At 40.3% G+C, this 22,079-nt stretch overlaps 1 protein-coding gene, 1 long non-coding RNA gene and 1 other non-coding gene across 3 annotated transcripts, besides 3 other annotated features; 2 read left to right on the top strand and 1 right to left on the bottom strand.

Moving 5' to 3' along the window:
• Positions 4,389 to 4,438: an enhancer, noted in NCBI's record as "active region_29480". NCBI's record gives its function as "activates an Ori minimal core promoter by ATAC-STARR-seq in GM12878 lymphoblastoid cells {active_cell/tissue: GM12878}" and the evidence as "EXISTENCE:reporter gene assay evidence [ECO:0000049][PMID:35858748]".
• Positions 4,499 to 4,768: an enhancer, noted in NCBI's record as "active region_29479". NCBI's record gives its function as "activates an Ori minimal core promoter by ATAC-STARR-seq in GM12878 lymphoblastoid cells {active_cell/tissue: GM12878}" and the evidence as "EXISTENCE:reporter gene assay evidence [ECO:0000049][PMID:35858748]".
• EIF1AX (eukaryotic translation initiation factor 1A X-linked) lies at positions 4,500 to 21,813 on the top strand. The gene is made up of 7 exons (NM_001412.4): positions 4,500 to 4,713; positions 7,716 to 7,799; positions 10,497 to 10,600; positions 12,331 to 12,381; positions 14,075 to 14,156; positions 15,731 to 15,822; positions 18,027 to 21,813. Exons 1-7 carry the CDS (start codon positions 4,698 to 4,700, stop codon positions 18,030 to 18,032), a joined length of 435 nt encoding a protein of 144 aa, NP_001403.1. The 5' UTR covers positions 4,500 to 4,697; the 3' UTR covers positions 18,033 to 21,813.
• Positions 5,099 to 5,258: an enhancer, noted in NCBI's record as "active region_29478". NCBI's record gives its function as "activates an Ori minimal core promoter by ATAC-STARR-seq in GM12878 lymphoblastoid cells {active_cell/tissue: GM12878}" and the evidence as "EXISTENCE:reporter gene assay evidence [ECO:0000049][PMID:35858748]".
• On the bottom strand, positions 5,894 to 6,370 carry EIF1AX-AS1 (EIF1AX antisense RNA 1). The gene is made up of 2 exons (NR_046592.2): positions 6,103 to 6,370; positions 5,894 to 6,003 (listed from the first exon to the last, which is right to left on the bottom strand). It is a non-coding gene; the product is annotated as an EIF1AX antisense RNA 1 (long non-coding RNA).
• SCARNA9L (small Cajal body-specific RNA 9 like) lies at positions 9,925 to 10,272 on the top strand. Its single transcript, NR_023358.1, has one exon.
• Positions 21,814 to 22,079: the final 266 nt, after the last annotated feature.

The raw sequence follows: 22,079 nt of genomic DNA, 5'->3' as shown, positions 1-22,079 counted from the left end.
GATCACCTGAGGTCAGGAGTTCAAGACCAGCCCGGCCAACATGGCGAAACCCCGTCTCTACTAAAAATACAAAAATTAGCCGGGCATGGTGGCAGGAGCCTATAATCCCACCTACTCATGAGGCTGACGCAGGAGAATCACTTGAATCTGGGAGGCAGAGGTTGCAGTGAGCTGAGATTACGCCATTGCACTCTAGCCTAGGAGACAAGAATGAAACTCTGTCTCAAAAAAAAAAGTGTACAATTTACTGTTTTGTTTTGTTTTTATTTTTTTTGAGACAGTGTCTCACTCTTGCCCAGCCTGGAATGCAGTGGCACGATCTCAGCTCATGGGTTCCAGTGATTCTCCCTCCTCAGCCTCCCAAGTAGCTGGGACTACAGGTGCACACCACCACGTACGGCTAATTTTTGTATTTTTTAGTAGAGACGGGGTTTCACCATATTGGCCAGGCTGGTCTCGAACTCCTGACCTTGTGATCCACCCGCCTCGGCCTCCCAGAGTGCTGGGATTACAGGTGTGAGCCACCGCACCCAGCAATTTAATGTCTTTTAGTATAGTACTTACAGAGTTGTGCAACCATTATTATAATGTAATTTTAGAACATTCTCACCATCCTAAAAAGAAACTTTATACCCTAGTCCAAGCCACAACTGTCTTTCGTTCGGACTGTTACAGTAGCCTCCCGTGTGGTTTCCATTTCCACCCTTGCCCCCTACAGTCTGTTCTTAACACAGAAACCAAAATGATCTATTTAAAAACCTACTGAAAGGCCGGGCGCAGTGGCTCATGCCTGTAATCCCAGCCCTTTGGGAGGCCAAAGCGGGTGGATCACTTGAGGTCAGCAGTTCGAGAACAGCCTGGCCAACATGGCGAAACCCCGTCTCTACTAAAAATACAAAAATTAGCCAGGCACGGTAGCGCACACCTGTAGTCCCAGCTACTAAGGGAGGCTGAGGCAGGTGAATCACTTGAACCTAGGGGGCGGAGGTTGCAGTGAGCCAAGATCGCGCCACTGCACTCCAGCCTGGGCAACAGAGCGAGACTCTGTCTCAAAAAAAAAAAAAAAAAAAAAAAAAAAAACCTACTGAAGATTCAAGTGATCTGGCCTCCTTACTTCTCCAATCTCATCTCTTCAAATTCTTCCCTTGGCTCAATGCATTCTAGCCACACTGACCTTTCTTTTCTTCCTTCCTTCCTTCTTTCCTTTCCTTCATTTATGTCCTTCCCTCCTTCCTCCTTTCCTTCTTTCTTTCATGGGGTCTCACTCTGTTGCCCAGGCTGAAATGCAGTGGCACGATCATAGCTCATTGCATCCTCAAACTCCTGGGCTCTAAGGATCCTCCTGCCTCAGCCTCCCAAGTAGCTGGGACTACAGATGTGAACTACCATGCCTGGCTTTTTTTACTGTCGTGTGTTTATTATTTTAGAGATGGGGGGGTGGGTCTCGCTATGTTGCCTGGGCTGGTCTCGAACTACTGGCCTCAAGCTCGATCTTCCCATCTCAGCCTCCTGAGTCACTGGGATTACAGGTGGAAGCCACTGCACCTGGCTTCTTGCTGTTTCCTGAATATACCAAGCATGCTTCCACTCAGGGCCTTTGCCCTTGCTGTTCTCTCTGCCTAGAACACATTTCCCCCAGATGTCCACCTGACTCACTTCCTTCCAAGTGATTAAGATGATCAGTCAGATGGGGGAACCATCCTACAGTAGAGAAATGAAGCCTGATATTTTTTTTTCCTCTTTGAGGTTTTATACTGGGTAATTGACAGAAACTTTTTATTTTTAAACATTTAGAGTTCCGGACTCTTAGAGTCTAACTACTTACCATGTACTAGGCACAATTGCTAATTGAATGCATTATATCAATTTAATTCCTGCAACAACCTAATGTAAGTACTATTCTTTTTTTTTTCTTTTTTTTTGTTCGTTTGTTTGTTGGAGATGGAGTTTCACTCTTGTTGCCCAGGCTGGAGTGCAGTGGCGCGATCTTGGCTCACTGCAACCTCCGCCTCCTGGGTTCAAGTGATTCTCCTGCCTCAGTCTCCCAAGTGGCTGGGACTATAGGCGCCTGCCACCATACCCGGCTAATTTTTGAATTTTTGAGTAGAGATGGGGTTTCACCATTTTGGCCAGGCTGGTCTCGAACTCCTGACCTCAGGTGATTCGCCCACTTCGGCCTCCCAAAGTGCTGGGATTATAGGTGTGAGCCACTGCGCCTGGCCGGTTAGTACTATTCCTACATCCAATTTACAGATGAGAAAACGGAAGCTTGTAAAGAGATTAAAACTTGCCCAAGAAAATAGAGTAATAAGTTACTGCAGAGCTTGAATTTGAACCCAGGCCTCTCTAACTCCAAAGCTCAAGTTCATAATTATTTGACCTTGGAGCAAAATTTAAATAAATTTCATAAAAAATCCTTTCATCCTCAATTATGTAAATTGAAAAATATTGCAGATAGAAAGAGAAACCCAGAACTTTGAGTCCCCCATTATCTTTCAATTTCACTCTAAGAAGTGCATCTGTCATTGGGTTTCTCAATATCAGCTCTGCTGATGTTTTGGGCTGGATAATTGTTTGCTTGTATGGGGGAGGGGAGATTGTACTGTGCACTGTAGGATGTTTAGCCGCATCCCTGGCCTCTGCCCACTAGATGCCAGCATCACTGCCCCCCTCCTCAAGTTATGACAACCAGAAACATTTCTGGTTGACGCTGCCAAATGTTCACAGAAAAGAACCACTATATTAGATGATGATACTTTATTTCTGTCTTCTAAGTATGTGCAAACCCTGGTGTTTGTGGAAAGGTGATTTATTTAAAATAAGTTTACTTGGTTTAGTCAAAATAAGTTTACTTAGAAATAAATCTTGTAGAGTACAGCCCAGCATTAGCCAGCTGTATTAGTTTGCTAGGACTGTCATAACAAAGTACCACGTACTGAGTGGCTTAAACAACAGAAATTTATTTTCTCATTGTTCTGGAGACTGAAAGTCTAAAATCAAGCGTCAACAGGGTTGGCCTCTCTCCTGGGCTTATAGATGGCTACCTTCTTGTTCACGTGGTGTTCTCCCTCTATGCCTGTGGCCTAATAATATCTTCTTGTAAGGACACCAGTCAGATAAGGGTCCACACTAATGACCTCATTTCAATTTAATCACGTCTTTGAAGAACTTATGTCCAAATACAGTCACATTGAGTTACTGGGGATTAGAACGTGAACATACGAATTTTGGGGGGGACACAATTCAGCCCATTAACATTGAGCTTAAGTCTTTTCTCCCCTCCCTCCCTTCCTTTCTGTGTGTATTGAACACCTATTATGTGCCAGACATTCAGCTAAGTGGGGGTAATGGTAAGCAACAAACATGGTCTCTGCCCGGTAAGGTTTACAGTGAGGTAGGACAGACAGACTTAAAGAGTAATAACAAGTGCCATGCAAATATTATGCTTTGGTAATGGATGCCAGGAAAGCCTTGCCCTTCCCATCAGGCTCCCAACCCGGCTGGGCGAGTGAAAGGACTGCGTTATGAGCTAACCGGCTGGGCACGGTGGCTGACGCCTGTAATCCCAGCACTTTGGGAGGCCGAGGTGGGCGCGAGTTGAGGTCACGAGTTCGAGACCAGCCTGGCCAACATGGTGAAACCCCGTCTCAACTAAAAGTACTAAAATTACCTGGGCATGGTGGCACATGCCTGTAATCCCAGCTACTCGGGAGGCTGAGGCAGGAGAATCGCTTGAGCCCGGGAGGCGGAGGTTGTAGTGAGCCGTGATCGCGCCACTGCACTCCAGCCTGGGCGATAGAGCAAGACTCCATCTTAATAAAAAAATTAAAATATTGGCCGGGCGCGGTGGCTCACGCCTGTAATCCCAGCACTTTGGGAGGCCGAGACGGATGGATCACGTGGTCAGGAGTTCAAGACCAGCCTAGCCAAGATGCTGAAACCCCGTCTCTACTAAAAACACAAAAATTAGACGGGCGTGGCGGCACGTGCCTGTAATCCCGGCTACTCCGGAGGCCGAGGCAGGAGAATCGCTTGAACCCGGGCGGCAGAGGTTGCAGTGAGCCGAGATCGCGCCACTGCACTCCAGCCTGGGCGACTCTAGAGCAAGACTCCGTCTCAAAAAATAAAATAAAAATAAAAATATACATATTTTTTAAAAACTGAGCTAACCACGAGGTTAACGAGTCAGCCACTTGTGAAACCGGGAGACGCGCGTTTGCTACAAAGCAGCAGAGGTCTGGTCTTAACCAGCAGCAAGCGCCACCTCAACCCGCCCTTTTCTATGACGCAGAGTCTCTCCCCCTCCCTCCCTGACTCCGCCTTTTCCCTGCTTGAGGCCCTGCCCCTCGCGTCCTCTCTGGCTTGCTGCGCACCCTCCCACAACGCGTCTCCCTCGGCTCTAACAATAGGAGTCAGTCGGCCACGCCTGCGTCATAAAGCCTGGGGGCGGGCCCAGCCGGCGACGGGAGGCGGGGAAAAGCGACGCAAAGAGTCGCGGCGCCATTTGCTGCCGCCGAGCGTGGACGCAGGCGGATCTCTGAAGAGCTGGGTCGCCAGCCTCTCCCGCGCACGTTGCCTGGCCTCCAGCACCTACTTGGTCCCGCGCGCTCCCTCGTGTCGCCCCTCGGAGCAGCAGCCGCCGCGGTCGCCGCTACCCGGAAAGAAGTCAGAGACGCCGCGAGGTCGCCGCCACCGCCATGCCCAAGAATAAAGGTAATGCCGCCCGGACCCCCGGACCACGGCTCTGCTCGGCCGGGTCTCCCAGGTCCTGCCCGTAGATTGCAGGTCACCCAGGCCGCAGTGACCCTTTTTCCTTCCCGCCCTGCCTGCCCGCGGCTGGGCGCCCCACACGCGACTCTGAGCTCGGGAGAGGAGCTGGGAAGTTAACTCCTGTTGCCCAGTTTGGTCACATTGGGGTGGAGCCGGCGCCATTTTTGTAGGGCCTCCTGCGGGAGAATGTGGGCTTTTGCTCCTGATTCGCGCCAGACTGACCGCTGCTCGGTGGGGACGGTGGCGGGAACCTTCCCCGGGGCGGCCTAGGTTTAGTAGATAGGCCCCTTTGGCCTTCCCGGGCATGAGGGGTTATAATCCCTGGAAGCCGTTCTGAACTTTCAGAGTGCTGTCTGCATTCGTGAGCACCAGGTACTCCTGCATGGGTTTCTTTATGGACAGTTCAGTATTGTTGAGGCTACTCGCTGTCCCTTGTGAACAGTGGGTGAAACCTTGATACATTTCTAAGGCTCACCTCTAGAGATTTACTCTCTCCATCCCTTTACAGGATATAGCTTATGTTTGTTTGCTGAAGACTTATTCCATATTGAGCCAAGTTTTCTACTTTTGCTTCAGATGATGCATATGTTGTGAGAATAAAGACCTAATTTAAGTGTCCTCCATTCTGAGGCTAAGCGTTCACAAATGATCAGACTTGAGGATAACTTTATTTGGGATTTCCAAAACGGAAGGCCTAATCTTAAAAAAAAAAAAACAAAAACAAAAAACAGAACACTCCTAAAGAAATTACTTTTATAGATTTACAGTGTTCCTGTCATTTTTAATAGCCGTATAACTTGAAGAAAATTGTGCAAGTAAATATAGGGAAAATACTGTATTTTCCTACAGGAGAGGAGCATACTTCATAGTCCGTAAGTAGTCTCCTTTGATTATTCATTCTAGAGGAAACCCTCCCCTGACACAGGCCTACTTCTGCTCTCTTTTCTACTTGACAGCTGGCTCCAGGGATTCTACCACATTTCCTCTTTGTAGCTGTCACTTATTACTTTATCCCTTAGGGTACTTGGTCGAGGTGTTCTGTGCACAAGTTGGTGCAGTCACTGCTCATTATTTTGGAAAAGATGGAGTTATAAACAAAAAATTTTAAAGTCTTACAGTTTTCTTCTGTATAATCCTTTATTCTCTCTGAGGTGGTAAGGGGATCACTTCCATCTTATTCTCACCTTTATTTCTAGTAATAAGATTTCCAATTCTTCCACCAGGCTGTAAGCTCTACAAGGCAGGAATAGTATCTGTCTTAATCTCATTGGATTGCCAGCACTTGACAATTAGTAGATGCTTAATAAATATTTGTTGGTTTAAGTCACCTACCTCCTGTCGACTCCACCCTTAGTGAATAATAGGTTCTGCTTTGGTTCCAAGGGGATAGGACTTCTACACTAAATCACATCTAGTTCCCTAGCCTCATGTCTTAAGAAAGAGCCTCTCTGGGAATTTCTCCAAAACAACTCTGGTTTAAAGAATGTTGATGTCACTTTAATTGTTGTACACTCAGACCTAGTCTCATTCATTCAACAGAGAATTTAAAGAACATCCCATTACATGGCAATAAAATACAAAGGGGAGTGATCCGGGTATGGTTAATTCTGGTAAATTGACAAGTAATTAGTCTTTTCTTAAATAACATTTGAGGCATACAAAAAATACAGCTAACATGATATACCTGGGAACCCATTACTCTGAATTTAAGAATTACAGCGCAGATTGAGGTAAAGCCCTAATCACCTTTTACTCTCTTTTTGGAGGTAATCACCAGGCTGAGTTTGGTGTTTATCATTCCTGTACTGTCTGAAACCAATCAGTTCTTAGTTATCTTACTTAGAGGAATGGTACTTTTCATGACCTAATTTAAGTGTCCTCCATTTTTTTTTGCTGCTTCCAAGCTCTTCCCATGAGTCTCTTAGGGTCATTACCACTTACAGCCTTTTTCCTGCCTTTTGGAAATGGCTGCCAATGTGGTTTCCTTTCTGGAATGGGAGCAAAATGCTGTGGAGAGGTAAGCTTATGTGGGGGCTAGGGGCAAAAAAAACATTGTGACTTTGGTCACCCCAGCTTACTGACTGTAATCAGTGAACTGATTTACTCACTGAAGCTAAGCGACTTACTTAACTTCTCTGAGCTTCAGGGAACTCATGGGTAAACTGGGAATAAATGAATGTTATGACCTCATGGGGTGATTGTGACAAGTAAATGGGCAGAATTATTGCATAGTGGTTAAGAGCATGGTCACTGGGGTCATATAATAGAAACAGGGATGTTGAGTAGGGACCAGCATTATAAAAGAAAGTAAATTGGGTACCGAACAGATCTTCTTTATTTTTTAAGAGACAGTGTCTCGCTATGTTGCCCAGGCTAGCCTGGAACCTCCTGGGCTTGCTCAAGTGATCCTCCCACCTGAGCCTCCTGAGTAGCTGAGACCCTAGGCGCACACCACTGCACCCAGTGAGATTTCAATATTTATGGTACTCTGCTACCAAAAGTTTGAAAACCACAGTTCTCTGTCCAGACACTGTCTTCACTTAATTTTGAAAGTATCGGGTTCCTTGCATAGGGCCTGGCTTTAGAAGACACCCAAGATTTCCGCTTAGAAGAATATGTATAGAATTGCATTTTTATTTCAAAAGGATGGGTGCTAAAGTGAAATGTTTTTCTATATTTTTTAACATAATATCTGCTATTTATGTGTATTTTATGTCAGAAAAATCCCCAAAGGAAATTCCAAGAAGGGTAGGGAGGTGATAATGTGTTAATGTTGGGATTGGAGATTGTAAATTTAATATGATTGTGTAGCTAAAATAGATGAATTTTTTAATTTAAGTGATCTTTTAAAAAATGGTTTTATAAGCCTTAATTTCATTTTATTTCATACTGTTTTACAGATAATTAATGTCATTTACCTCCTTTTCTTTTTTTTAAACCATCAGGTAAAGGAGGTAAAAACAGACGCAGGGGTAAGAATGAGAATGAATCTGAAAAAAGAGAACTGGTATTCAAAGAGGATGGTCAGGGTAAGTGTTTTCATAAATTACGCTTTTTAAAATAACATCCTTTCTTTTTTAGCTGGGGACTTTATTTTTTTGAGACAGCGTCTTGCCCATCGCCCAGGGTGAAGTGTGGTGGCACGATTACAGCCCACTGCAGCCATGACCTCCTGGGCTGAAGCAGTCCTTCCACTTCAGCCTCCCGAGTATTTGGGACTACAGGCACACACCACCACGTCTGGCTAATTTTAAAAATTTTTTTAGGCTGGGCGCAGTGGCTCACGTCTGTAATCCCAGCACTTTGGGAGGCCAAGGCGGGCGGATCACGAGGTCAGGAGTTCGAGACCAGCCTGACCAACATGATGAAACCCCGTCTCTACTAAAATTACAAAAATTAGCTGGGTGTGGTGGCACGTGCCTGTAATCCCAGCTACTCAGGAGGCTGAGGCAGGAGAATTGTTTGAACCTGGGAGGCGGAGGTTGCAGTGAGCCGAGATCACACCACTGCACTCCAGCCTGGGTGACAGAGGGAGACTCTGTCTCAAAAAAAAAAAAAAAAAAAAAAAAAAAACTGTATAGAGATGAGGTCTTCATATGTTGCCCTGGCTATTCTCGAACTCCTGGGCTCAAGTGATTCTCCCACCATGACCTCCCAAAGTACTGGGAACTAAGAATGTGTCGTATAGTTCAGAGGGAATTGAGCTATGGTTGACAGTTCTGTGATTTAGTTGGCAGTTCTATGATTAGCATTTCTGGTAGTGAATGGTACATATAATATGTTGAGTAGACCATGGACATTTGAAGGATGAGCCTGAGGCCCTTATAGACCTCTCCATTCTCCAGTGCCATTAGCATATAACTTCGTAAACTACAATAAAATGAAACTGAACAGTTAACTGATTTTATTAGACTGAAGAATATTGTAAGTGCCAGACCAAGATACATAGCACTAGTCAAATAAATCCTAACTGGATCGTTTGCCCTTTCCTGTTACTTTTATTTCGAGTCATTTCAAACCTACAGAAAGTTGCAGTATTAGTGCAACAAACTCCCTTAAATCCTTCATCTGTACACACACATATAAAGAAATATATATGTGGGATTTTTTAATTTTTTTTTTGAGATGGAGTCTCGCTCTGTCGCCCAGGCTGGAGTGCAGTGGCGCGATCTCGGCTCACTACAAGCTCCACCTCCCGGGTTCACGCCATTCTCCTGCCTCAGCCTCCCAAGTAGCTGGGACTACAGGCACCCGCCACCATGCCTGGGTATTTTTTTTGTATTTTTAGTAGAGACGGGGTTTCACTGTGTTAGCCAGGATGGGTCTCGATCTCCTAACCTCGTGATCCACCCGTCTCGGCCTCCGAAAGTGCTGGGATTACAGGCGTGAGCCACCGCACCTAGCCCCATATGTAGGATTTCTTCAGGACCATTTGAAATTTAGAGACATCATGTTACTTTTCCCTTACTTGATCATGTATCTTCTAAGTGCAAGTATATTTTCTTATATAACTAGAAGAGAATTATCACACTCAGGTAATTTGACATTGATATAATATCTAGTATATACTCCATATTTCCTCAGGTATTCCAATTATTTCCAGTACTTTAGCTTTTAATAGAACTTTGGGTGGATTTATTACGCCATACATATAAACCAGTAAACATGAGATACGTTTTCTGGCTAAAAGTCCTTTGGTTTCTTAGCCTTGGTCATCCTTGCCTCTAAAATAGCAGCTGACTTGACTTGGGCATACACTGTTTTATTATTACTTTTTCCCTCACTTCAGAAGAAAGGCTGCCTTTGAGTTGACCAACCATGTTGAGGTGGTAGATGGGTGCTAAACTCACTGTAGTCTGAGTAATTGACTTCCACAAGTCATCCCCACTGTTGAGCCTTTCAAAATGAAGTCTCAGTATATTTACAAATTAATGGACATCCTCTCTGGGGATTAGTCATATTCTAATTCAACAAAGACATTGTTTGAAGTTTGTTTTTGTTTGCTAAATGAACTAAAAATTATGAGATTTGCACCTAAAGGTACTGAGGTAAAGGAGAGCCAAAAGTGGGGTAGTCAATCTACTTATTCAGAATGAGTCGATAATTTAAACATGTCTAATAGCAGAGACAGTATATTATAGAAATGGCATTACATTCTCTGAGATCTGCTTTTACTGAAGTGGATCAATGATGAAACTAGCCAAATCTGAGCATCAGAAGGCTTTCCGGTCTACCTGATGCATGATCTCTACAGTTCTGAGAAGCAGAACTATAAAACAATGTAAAACAATAAGGGCATATGTCTGGTGTGTGTGTGGGGGGTGTGTGTGTGTGTGCACGCACACGTGTTTATAAAGGTAGCAGTTGTAGGAATGAATGAGATTGGGGGTGAGGGGGTGCATATGTATGTCTATGAAAGCCTAATCATTTCTGGGCAATGATGTAAAGGTTTTACGACTGACCTTTGTAACTATGAAGTTTTCTACACTTGACCTGAGCTCAGAAAAAAGAAAGAAAGAAAGAAATGTCATCATAGAGTCTTAGTTCTAGCTCTGCCGTTAACTAACTTGATGTTTATCACTCCCTTATGTTTGTTTATAGTTTTACTATATGTATTTATTCCCAACTGGTGCAACTTTATTCTCTTGACAGTTTTATGTGGACTTTAAGTTGCTGTTATCAAAAGTTGAACAATATTCCATACCCTTTTCCTTTCTCCCCGCTAGAGTATGCTCAGGTAATCAAAATGTTGGGAAATGGACGGCTAGAAGCAATGTGTTTCGATGGTGTAAAGAGGTTATGTCACATCAGAGGAAAATTGAGAAAAAAGGTAGGTGTGATTTGTTTTACTTTAATATAAAATTGGTTAAGGGGGAAAATCCCTCTACAGTTTTTAACTGTCCATGGACTTCATTTTTGGAAATTCCCAAAAGACTTACCTTGGTAAACAGTGATTTACCTATAAGTAAAATAGCAAGGTCTGTAATGGTAATTTTATACAGGTTCTAATGTTAAAGAAGCATTTGTATCACTTGTATTGTATTCCTGCCCAAAAAGTCCAAATTGAGAGACATTCTGCAAAAACAAACGGCCCAGTTTTTTTTTTCCTTGTCTTTTTTTTGATACAGGGTCTCACTCTTATCACCCAGCCTGTAGAGTAGTGGCATGATCTGGGCTCACTGTAACCTCACCCTCATTGGTTCAAGTGATCCTCCCACTTCAGCCTCCCGTGTAGCAGGGGCTACAGGCCTGTGCCACCATGCCTGGCTAATTTCTGTATTTTTTGTAGAGATGGGGTTTCTTCATGTTGCTTAGGCTGGTTTCGAATCCTCAGCTCAAGCAATCAGCCCACCTTGGCCTCCCAAAATGCTGGGATTATAGGCATGAGCCACTGTACCCAGCCAGATGGCCCAGCTCTTAATGCAATGTTACTGTCATGAAAGTTTCAAAAAAAAAAAAAAAAAAAAGCTGGGGTACTATTCTAGTTGCAAGGAGACTTAAAGAGACCTGACAGTTAAATGGAGTAGGTTGCCCTTGTTTGGATTCTGATTTAGGAATTGGACATATAGCTGTAAAGTGTACATTCAGAAAATTTGAATATGAGTTATATAAGCATTGTATTAATGTTGCATCTCTTGAATGTCATCGTGAATGGACTGCCTTGGAAAGTAATGATTAATTCACCATCACAGTAGTTATTCAGGCAGATTTATTAATCAGGTTGACTAAAAGTCCCAACTCTGATTTTGTATTTATTTTTTTTAATTTGGTATGTTAATCCTTCTATTCCCAAACTAAAATCTTTTTTTCTTTTTCTTTCTTTTTTTTTTGAGACAGAGTCTCACTCTGTCATCCAGGCTGGAGTGCAGTGGCACAATCTTGGCTCAGTGCAATCTCCGCCTCCCAGATTCAAGTGTTTCTCCAGCCTCAGCCTCCTGAGTAGCTGGGATTATAGGCATGCGCCACCACGCCTCGCTAATTTTTGTATTTTTAGTAAAGACAAGGTTTTACCATTTTGGCCAGGCTGGTCTTGAACTCCTGACCTCAAGTGACCCGCCGGCCTCGGCCTCCCAAAGTGCTGGGATTATAGGCGTGAGCCACAATGCCAGCCCAAACTAAAATCTCTTAATTTCTTTTCTTTTTTTTTTTCTTTTAAAGAAGTTTATTTATTTGTTTTTTTGAGACGGAGTCTCACTCTGTTGCCCAGGCTGGAGTGCAGTAGCGCAGTCTTGGCTCACTGCAACCTCCGTCTCCCAGGTTCAAGTGATTCTCCAGCCTCAGCCTCCCGAGTAGCTGGGACTACAAGGGCATGCCACCACGCCCAGCTAATTTTTGTATTTTTTAGTAGAGACGGGTTTTTGCCATGTTGGCCAGGATGGTCTCGAACTCCTGACCTCAGGTGATCCGCCCACCTTGGCCTCCCAGAGTGCTGGGATTACAGGCATGAGCCACCGCTCCTGGCCTAAAATCTCTTAATTTCTAAACTAATTGATTGTTACTCTGGAATTTCTTGATTCTTCGTTATTTTAAATGTGACGGGCAGTGACTTTTCTTTTGTAGGTTTGGATAAATACCTCGGACATTATTTTGGTTGGTCTCCGAGACTACCAGGTAAAATTTACATGTAAATTTTTCCTATTTTACTGGCTTGAATTTGATGAGCCATTTCTTAAGAGCCAGTTTTGTTTCAGGCATTGTGCTAGGTATCCCAGGGATTTATGTTTAAATCAAAATCTGGGAGCCATTATTCTAGGGGATACAGCTGAATGAGTTAAGTGCCCATCCCACAAAAGGCTCATAGCCTGGTAGTGGAGAGAGTTAAGCACACAAGTAATTACAATACACATCACAACATAGGTATGTGCTATAAATCTAAAGGAGCACTTGGGAAAGAAAGAAAGTGGTGGTTGCCTTTCGTGATGGTAACCCTTGACTCTGTAGACTCATTGTGGGTCTGTGAGATCCATTTGACATCCACCTATTGGAAATCATCCCTGTATGATACTATCTCTATTTGTATAGCCTCGATCATACTTTGATTTAAAAAAAAAAAAAACCCAGAATAAATAATTTAAATCTTCACTTTAAGCCATTGTTTCTCAACTGTGGGCAGTTTTGCCCTCCGAGGGACATTGGCAGTGTCTGGAGACTTTTCTGGTTGTCACAACTGGGGGATGGGTGCAGTGCTGCTAGCATGTAGTAGATAGAGGCTGGGGTGGGCACAGGACAGCATCCCATAATAGAGAATGGTCCGCCTCACAATAATCCATAGCGCTGAGGTGAGAAAGCTTGCTTTAAATTCATACCATTTTAATGTCCATTTTTTTCTTATGATCTAACAATAACCCCAGAAATAGGAAGAATAAGTAATTTCCTGTTCGATAGATAAGGAAACCAAGGGTCCAAAATGAGTAACATTTTGACTGTAAAGTGACAGCCAGGACCAACTTCTGATTTGAAATTATTCATGATCTTTCCGTGCCCCTCCTACTTACAGGGTGGTCAATGGCTCGATAGCATCTTCTGGAAGCTTGTTAGAAATACAGGTTCTTTGACTCTTCAGTCAGAACATGCATTTTAATAAGATCTCCATAGGCTTCTATACACTTTACATTTTAAGAAGTACTGGTCTGAATCACACTGTCCTTGAAGTTGAAGCAATCAATTTTCTCCCTTAACTGAGTTAAATTATTTTCAAATAGGGAAGTAGAAACATTCTAAGGCAGTATTTCTCAATGGGACTTTTGCATCAGAAATACCTAAAGAACTTCTCACAATACTAATTCTTGGGCTTCTCTTCACATCTACTAATCTGTCTTCAGAAGATATAAAAGCTCCACAGGAGATTGTGATTGATACCTAGGCAAAGAAGCACAGATAATACAGAAAGGTATAATTTCCTTAGGTCATTATACCAGTCTCAGTTCAGTCTCAGTTTTGGAATTGCAGTGTTTGATCACCCTGCAAATTATTGTCCCAGGGAACTTTTGTACTTCAAAAGACTTCTGATCAAAGGGTAATATTAAATAATCTAAAATATGGGGTATGCACAGTTCTGCTCTTATTAAAGTGAGATCTCTATATTTCCCAAGCTTGTTAATCATTCAGGCATGTACATAAGCTTCCTCTTGGGTTAAACCTAAGGATCTTTTTCAGAGGGTATGAGAAAGCTTTAAAATTTAAAAGGAGAAAGATTTATAGTAAAACGGTGAGATTTGATTGTTTATTCAATATGAGAATTTATGAAATAACTGATAATATTTTGTTATGATCAGTTTTTTAAAGTTATTTGTCTCTATTTAAGGATAACAAAGCTGATGTAATTTTAAAATACAATGCAGACGAAGCTAGAAGTCTGAAGGCATACGGCGAGCTTCCAGAGCATGGTAATGTCTGAGTTACTGTATTAACTTGTCATATGGTATTTAGGTTATGTGTTGCTGGTTAGGTGAAGGAACTATGGATTTTGCTTATTTACTTTAGTGCTCACATTTTTAGTTTTAAGTATGCCTGCCTATGCTTCATAATACTAGATACTATAAGAAAGAAATTACTGGAATTCTGTTCCTAATAAATATGGTGAGGAGTTCTGTAAGCTTTGGACTTCCACATAATGCTAACTAAAGGAATAATTTTGTTATAGTATCTATTAAAATTCCTTCCTCGAGAGACTGTCAGTGCGCATATGGGTTAAACACGAAGTGCAAGTCAGCCGGGCATGGTGGCACATGCCTGTAGTCTCAGCTACTTGGGAGGCCAAGACGGGAGGATTGCTTGAGTCCAAGAGTTCAAGGATGCAGTGACCTATGATCATGCCACTATACTCGAGCCTGAGTGACAAAGTGAGACCTTGTCTCAAAAAAAATTAAAAAAAAAAAAAAAAAAAAACCATGAAGCAAGGGCAAGTAATTAGGTACAGTTACTGATTTTGTTTGTTTGTTTTGAAATGGAGTCTCACTCTTTTGCCCAGGCTGGAGTGCAGTGGTGCAGTCTTGGCTCACTGCAACCTCTGCCTCCCAGGTTCAAGCGATTCTCAGCCTCCAAAGCAGCTGAGATTACAGGCATGCACCACCATGCCCGGCTAATTTTGTAGTTTTAGTAGAGACGGGGTTTCACCATGTTGGTCAGGCTAGTCTCAAACTCCTGACCTCAGATGATCCACCCACCTCTGCCTACCAAAGTGCTCGGATTTCAGGCGTGAACCACCATGCCCGGCCTCATTACTGATTTTTATTAAAAAGTTATATTTCCATTTTATCGTTGTATAATAGTATCCCATAGGATTTTTTAAAAGCAACATTTCTTGGTTTTCACCCTTCCAAATACAAAAGTAATGAATTCTTAACGCAGAAAACCTAAAAATAAGTCCCTTATAACCTCATCAAAGGGGAAATGTACTTGACATACTGTTCTGTAGGCCTGCATTTTCACTTGGCAGTTATTATTTTTGGCTCTGTTGTATCTTAAGAAAAAACATAATTTTGTTATATTTTACTTAAGCATGAAAGTCCTGCTGAAATTACTTAGCATTTCTGATCTAAGAAATGTTAATGTATATAGGAATAGGACTAGCGCTTCCTGGTTCATTTTCATTGCTTAGGGGTAATCATGATTTGACCAGATCTTTCTGATTGATGAGTCTATCTGATGATTAGTGAACCAGCTATTCTTAAGGAAATACGTTGTTACCATATTTCCTTGTATGTTGAGAAGTATACCTGAAAGTTATAATAGCTTCAGAATTAGTGTAATTAGGGCCTTCCTTACTAAAAATACCTTTGCAAACAAAAGAAAATGGTAACACAGATACTCCCATCTTGACTTAGCAGTGACACTGCAGGAATTTTTTTTCATAAAATATTCTTTATAGTTATTGTCTTATATAAAAGGAATGCTCTTATGATGAAACTTTGAGTAAATTACAGTGCTGACTTATGAGTATTTCTTACTGTGTCCTTAGCTAAAATCAATGAAACTGATACATTTGGTCCTGGAGATGATGATGAAATTCAGTTTGATGACATTGGAGATGATGATGAAGATATTGATGACGTAAGTAGATGTACCTTGTGTTTTCCAATTTTTGTTATTATCCATGGAGAAACCAACTTTCCCCTAACATCCATTAATTTTAAGAACATGGGACACTTAAATAAGGTTGTATTTTGAGAATTGTCTGAATTAAATAATATTATTTAGAAGACACCTGGTCAAACTGTTTATATTTTGAGAATTCTTTTTTTTTTTTTTTTTTTTTTTTTTTTTGTGATGGAGTTTTGTTCTGTCACCCAGGCTGGAGTGCAGTGGTACAATCTCAGCTCACTGCAATCTCTGCCTCCTGGGTTCAAGCGATTCTCCTGCCTCAGCCTCCTGAATAGCTGGGACTACAGGCGCGTGCCACCACGCCTGGCTAATTTTTTGTATTTTTAGTAGAGACGAGGTTTCACCACGTTGGCCAGGCTGGTCTCGAACTCCTGACCTCCGGTGATCTGCCCTCCTCGGCCTCCCAAAGTGCTGGGGTTGCAGGCGTGAGCCACCATGCCCGGCCCTATTTTGAGAATTCTTATAACCCTCTTCAATTTCTCTTCCTGAAAAGGTCAGTGTTTGCATTGGCAATATTAACGCCAGCCACTCTAATCATAACTTGTTTAATTAAGAGTCTCTAAAGAGATAGCCATTAAGAAATTTAGTGGACAGTTGAAAAATAGATCTTATCAAAGGAACATGCCTTTTTAATTGAAATATTAGTGTGTTGAAAGAATCTTGTTTGAACCAGCTTGATATGAAGCATTGGAATTACAACATACACTGAAAGCCTTGTCAAAATGGAAGCCTATTGCCAATTATGGTATTTTTAGCTGTTGGGTGTGTACTGTTGGCAAACTCTTGGTTTGCAGTTGGTATGTTTATTTTGAGGAAAATGGATTGTCTTTCCTAATAATAAAGTAGTAATGCCCATAAGTGTAAATGCTTTACTGCACTTCTGCTGTTACTGTAATTGAATGAAATTCAAACTTAATCTTTTGGCAGTATAAATTTATTTAGTGATTAGGGTGTTACTCTTAAATCTGTTTTGGGCTCTTCTTTTCAAACCTCTTTTAACTAAAATGTAGTTCAGAAACCACCTGTGTATTTCAACCCAAAAACAATAATAAGTCAGATGTGGTGGTATGCACCCATAGTCCCAGCTACTCAGGAGACTGATAGGGGAGGATCACCTGAGCCCAGGAGTTCAAGACCAGCCTGGGTAACATAGCCAGACTTTGTCTCTACATAAATAACATAATAACGTTAAATTTGATGCAAAGATGGAATTTCGGAATACCTAGAGCAGTTGTTCCTGACCAAGAATACTCACACTGTGAGTTAAATTACTAATATTATAGACATTTTAACATGTACACAAAAATAGGAAGTGAGAAATAAACATGTTGTTCTGTTATTTTCTTAATTTTGGAGACCCTGAGCCAAGAGGAGTCTTACGACTAAACTGTTACTAATATTTTGACAATAGAATTAACAATTCTATTCTTTGGTAAATAAGAGCTTGCAGCTGACATGTGGATTAAGCGCCAACCCAAACATTTTGACATCTGAGCAGGGGTAGAAGGCCTCTTTAAAAAAAAAAAAAAATTAAGGAACCTAACCAGAGAACATGCATGGATATGAAGCCGCATGCACCAAGATAATGGGTTGAGAATCTAGGCGTGGTCAAGATTTTCTCAGTAAAAATTTCTGGATCTGGGCCAACGCCTCCTCAGAACTGGACCCAGCTGGCTGGCTGGAAAAGGGATGGTAAAGAGTGATTATTAAAGGAGTTCTCTTGAACATTTTGTAAAAGTTGGCTCTGTCACCTGAGAACCCTACTCTTTGAGACATTTCTCCAGGTGGTTTATAGATGTTTTAACTATAACCAGATTGACTCAGGAGAATTAGGTCAGTATCACACTGAACGGGATCAATCATATCATGCTTCCTGTGTCTGCTCCCATCCATGAGATACAAAAATCTCAAATTACAAGCATTAAAGGAAGGAGACAGTAAATTTTATTAAGAATATTTTGCATAACATGTAACATTACAAAGGAGATCATCACGATTTACTTATAGCAGGCCAGAATTATAGGAATTTCTTCTTCAAACTGGATTTGTTTCTCACATAGCCTAAGGAGGTGAAAGTCTCCCTTATATATGGAGTAGACTGTTGGAATATAAGAATTCTTTTTCCTTTCATCTGATGTTCTTTTCCCTTCCAGATCTAAATTGAACTCAACATTTTACATTCCATCTTTTCTGAAGATTGTCCTACAATTTGGATTTTGATCATGACAAAGAAGATTAAAATTTCATTAGCATGAATGCAATTTGTTAAAGCAGACTGATTTGTTTCTAAGATATTTTTGGTTTTTTTAAAACTGATAATAATGCTGAATTATCTTAAGTGAGATGTTAAGCCCACTTTGTTCTTTTAATGTAATGGAGCTTATGGGTAGAAGACCATGTCTACTAATTACAAAAAAAAAAAAAAACCATGCATTGCTGCTTTTCCTACCACTTCCAGTAAGAAAATGGGTGTTTTGAAGAAATCATTTGCCTTGTCCTCACGGAATCTGATTAAGCCCTGGCCTCTTGATTGTATAGAGTCATTGTGTATATTCCAGTTACCTAGATATTCCCTTGAGATTTTGATACAATTTGAGGGAGGCAGAAGTCTGCAGTTGAAGAAAAAAAATAAGTCTGTTTGTCATATTTAAGTAGCCTGTGGCTATTTTTATACTGATTTTGATATCATGTTCTTTTCATAGTCGTATTTTGCCACCGTAAACATAAAAAAAAAAAAAAAGATTTCCAAAATGCCGTTTTCAGAACCTGGGTTTTAATAGCAGTATTGAATTTGTAAGCTTAGTAGTTGCAGAAATTGAACACTAGGTGGCACTCAGTTATCTTAACAGGGGAAGTACTGATACAATTGTTGACTTTTCTTTTACTATGTGTAAGAAATACCCCAAACATGAAAAGATTGTTTTGATCATATGCATGTATGTAGAATATTTTTGCAGAGCAGAAAGATTATGTTAGAAGTGTGATTTTTATTTTCAGAAGTCATATACATGTAAGCTACAATTTTGAGTGCTTTATAAACACTTAAGATATATATATAAATTTTAATTTCATAGCAACTTGTAAAAAATAAAATACTTGTTGAAAAGCCTTTTTCAACATATCCCTAAGCTAAGGGAAGAGGAAGGAATAACAACTCAGTGAAAAGATGGTCTCCAGTTTCTGAATGAAAAAGCTACAGCTGAGAAATAAAATAAAATGTCATGCTGCAGAATATGTTATACCCTTATTTTGTGTTAAGGATATATTTTATTATGTGAATGGTTTTGTTTTTGTTTTTTGTTTTTGTTTTTTGCTTGTATTGGGAATTAGCTTTACTGGTAACTTCCTTATTTAGTTTTTAGTGGTCAACTCTAATAAAATGAAACTAGGGCTGAGCTAGTTAGCCCTCACTAGCCAAACTGAAACTCTATGCAACATTAAAAGAAGAGATCCATCATGTAGCTTGTGACACTTTTATTTTATTAGTCACCGGGGAACTTTTCAGTGATGAAAATACACAGGGTAATAAACCTTCACATGGCTTCAAAAGGAAAACAAGCAAATCTTCTCTAATCTACTCTTACTATAATTTCCTAAGTGTACACCAAACTCTGGATTTAAAAATCTGAAGTACTATAGAACATTAAGTTGAAGAATGGAAATTAAGAGTACGTATTCATGGTTTATATTTCTTATTCTATGGAGTTCGTGAACACATCTAGGTGGAATGCATCTGAGACTAAGGGCTGGTTTTTAATCCTCATAAGAAACCAGCCTTGAAGAATTAACAATTCTCTTCATTGGTATTCTAAACCTCCTAAGATATTTAGGCTTCTGTACATAAAAGTGTTTTTGCTAAATTTACAGTATATATAGATCCTTTCATATTATTTTACTAAGAATGTTTGAACTTTGCATATTTGATATAGTTCCTGGTAGGAATAGCACAGCTCAAACATTAGTTTTTCTACTTACCTCCTCTAACACGTGGTTTGTCTGGAGAGTTTCTAAAAATTCAGCTATAACCCCAGTTCATGTATTTACTGGTGATTGTTCTTGCTGAGGTAGTAACAGCCCAATCTTGGGCTGTTAAATCCTAGGAAATCTCGAATCATAGTGATTAAAATAGTTGGGGTAAAGTTGTAGCTTATATGCAATACTACTTGGAGGAATTCTTCTACTAATTTGTATTTAATGTGGAAATTGTATAGTTTCATTGATTTAATCATAAATAATGGAAATGGTCTCCAAGAAGTTTTATTTTTCATTTTTTTGCTTATACACTCTGATTCCTATAATACAGTGCTATAAGCTATGCACAGAAAATAAAATGTTTGAAATCCAAGAATAATGGTTCTTACTGCTAAGAGGGAGTAATAGTTATTACTAATGATTTTGATTGGGTTGCATTTTTGTTGCAATGTTTATTCCACTTGCAGTTAGAATATGAATATGTTTTATCACTAGTGTGGCTAAATAACCAAACATTTGTGTAAAAAAAAAAAAAAGCCAAGATTTCATTGTTTGTTGAATATTTCTTAAGCATCTGGCCCCTAAAGAGACCGCTTCTTACCAAGCCTGTAAACTATGCATGATGGAAATTCTTGTATTTTATTTAGGAATGGCTGTTGGTTTACTCACCACATCTGTGGAATCATGGCTATAAATGTTTGCTTACAAACTCTTTGTGACTTGTAATTTAACTTAATCTCATCTAATGTAAATATTAGATTATGATGTTCAGTAACATCTTCCATAGGTATAAACTGCTGTCATTATTGATTTCAGAGTAACTCTGAGTAATCAAATAGGTAAAAGCATGTTTTGAGTAAAATAGCTAGATTTATACTTTACTTGTATACAGACTTAACAACAACCGGTATTGACTGGATTGACAGCTAAAGTATCAGAATGAAAGCAAGGTTTTTTTGATGTTACCTGACTGTCATAAAGATGAAAATGATTTGTATTGGTATGAAATGCTTATCTTTATTCTACTTCGTAAGGGTAAGTTTTATTTATACTCTTTGGACTCCCATGAACTTTTGCACACTGCTTTGTGTTTTTGGTTTACCCTAAACTACCATCCTTTTTATCTTTGCTTTTTTTCTTCCTATTCAGAAAAGAGCAAAATGTGAAAAGACACAAGACTCTCAGGTATAGAATGAACTGAGCAATTTGGAGAATGTATTGGACTTTGTCCTCTCTTATTCCCCCCTCCTAGCCCTGCAAGTTGCTAGGTACTTGTGAGGCAGTGTACTGGAGAGGGGAGAGCATGGATCCTGGGGTCAAAGGGCCTTTGCCCCCACCCTTACTTGGCCCTCTACCTGCAGGTGACCACTGGCACATTCTCCTGCTTGTCTCAGCTTCAGGTTCTTCACCTCTAAGATGGGGATGATGAAAACAGTACCTGTCATGCAGAATTGTTGGGAGGATTGATAATTTAGATGTTTATACATGTAATGTACTTAGATCAGTGTCTGCTCTTTTCACTTGATATCCAGTACTATGTAAGATAGAAGGTGCATGTCTTCTGTATTCTGTATTTCCCATTTCTTTTGCGTGCAGTCTTTGATTCGTACAATAGAAGGAACACGTAGAATGTATATTTGTACATTCATGTCAACATAGTATTTGAAATTGCTACCAAACTCATTTAATTTGGCATAAGACTAACAGATGAAGTCTCTCATTTGCTTGAAGATATTTTACAAAATACCAACTGTTCTATATTTCTTTAGAAAAAGATTATAGTTATTAATATTGATACCTCTGATAATATTTTATTCTTAAATCTTCAGTGATTCCTTTTACTATAGATTCATGACAGCTAATTAGTACTAACTGATTTAGAGGTTTCCTTTCCCATCATATGGAATGATGTAAAGAAATCAGATACAAACTACTGCAATTAGAAAATAAAATATGAACAACTTTCAACAATGTATACAATTGATTCTTTTCTAACTTTATAACATTTTAAACTATTTATTCATATGACTCTTTTCCAAAAATTTGCTGTTTTTAAAACTTAATTGTGATATATAAGGAAAAGGTATACCTTGTTTTTATTTTTGTCTGTTTTTGGTTGTTTGATCTGAATGAATCCATTTAGCCATATTCCAGATATGGGGTTGCATTTTCTCAGCAAGTGAATTTGTCACAAATCTGTGCTGAAGAAGGCATTTTCTAATGGTAAGTCACTT

Source organism: Homo sapiens, chromosome X, assembly GCF_000001405.40.
Source record: "Homo sapiens chromosome X, GRCh38.p14 Primary Assembly".
Lineage (NCBI taxonomy): Eukaryota > Metazoa > Chordata > Mammalia > Primates > Hominidae > Homo > Homo sapiens.
This window is presented reverse-complemented; position numbering and strand designations above follow the sequence as displayed.

Bases quoted from the DNA above. Each gene is read 5' to 3' on its own strand.
- EIF1AX (NM_001412.4), top strand. The intron at 7,800-10,496 runs GTAAGTGTTTTC...TCTCCCCGCTAG, and splicing joins ATTCAAAGAGGATGGTCAGG to AGTATGCTCAGGTAATCAAA. The intron at 12,382-14,074 runs GTAAAATTTACA...TCTCTATTTAAG, and splicing joins TTGGTCTCCGAGACTACCAG to GATAACAAAGCTGATGTAAT.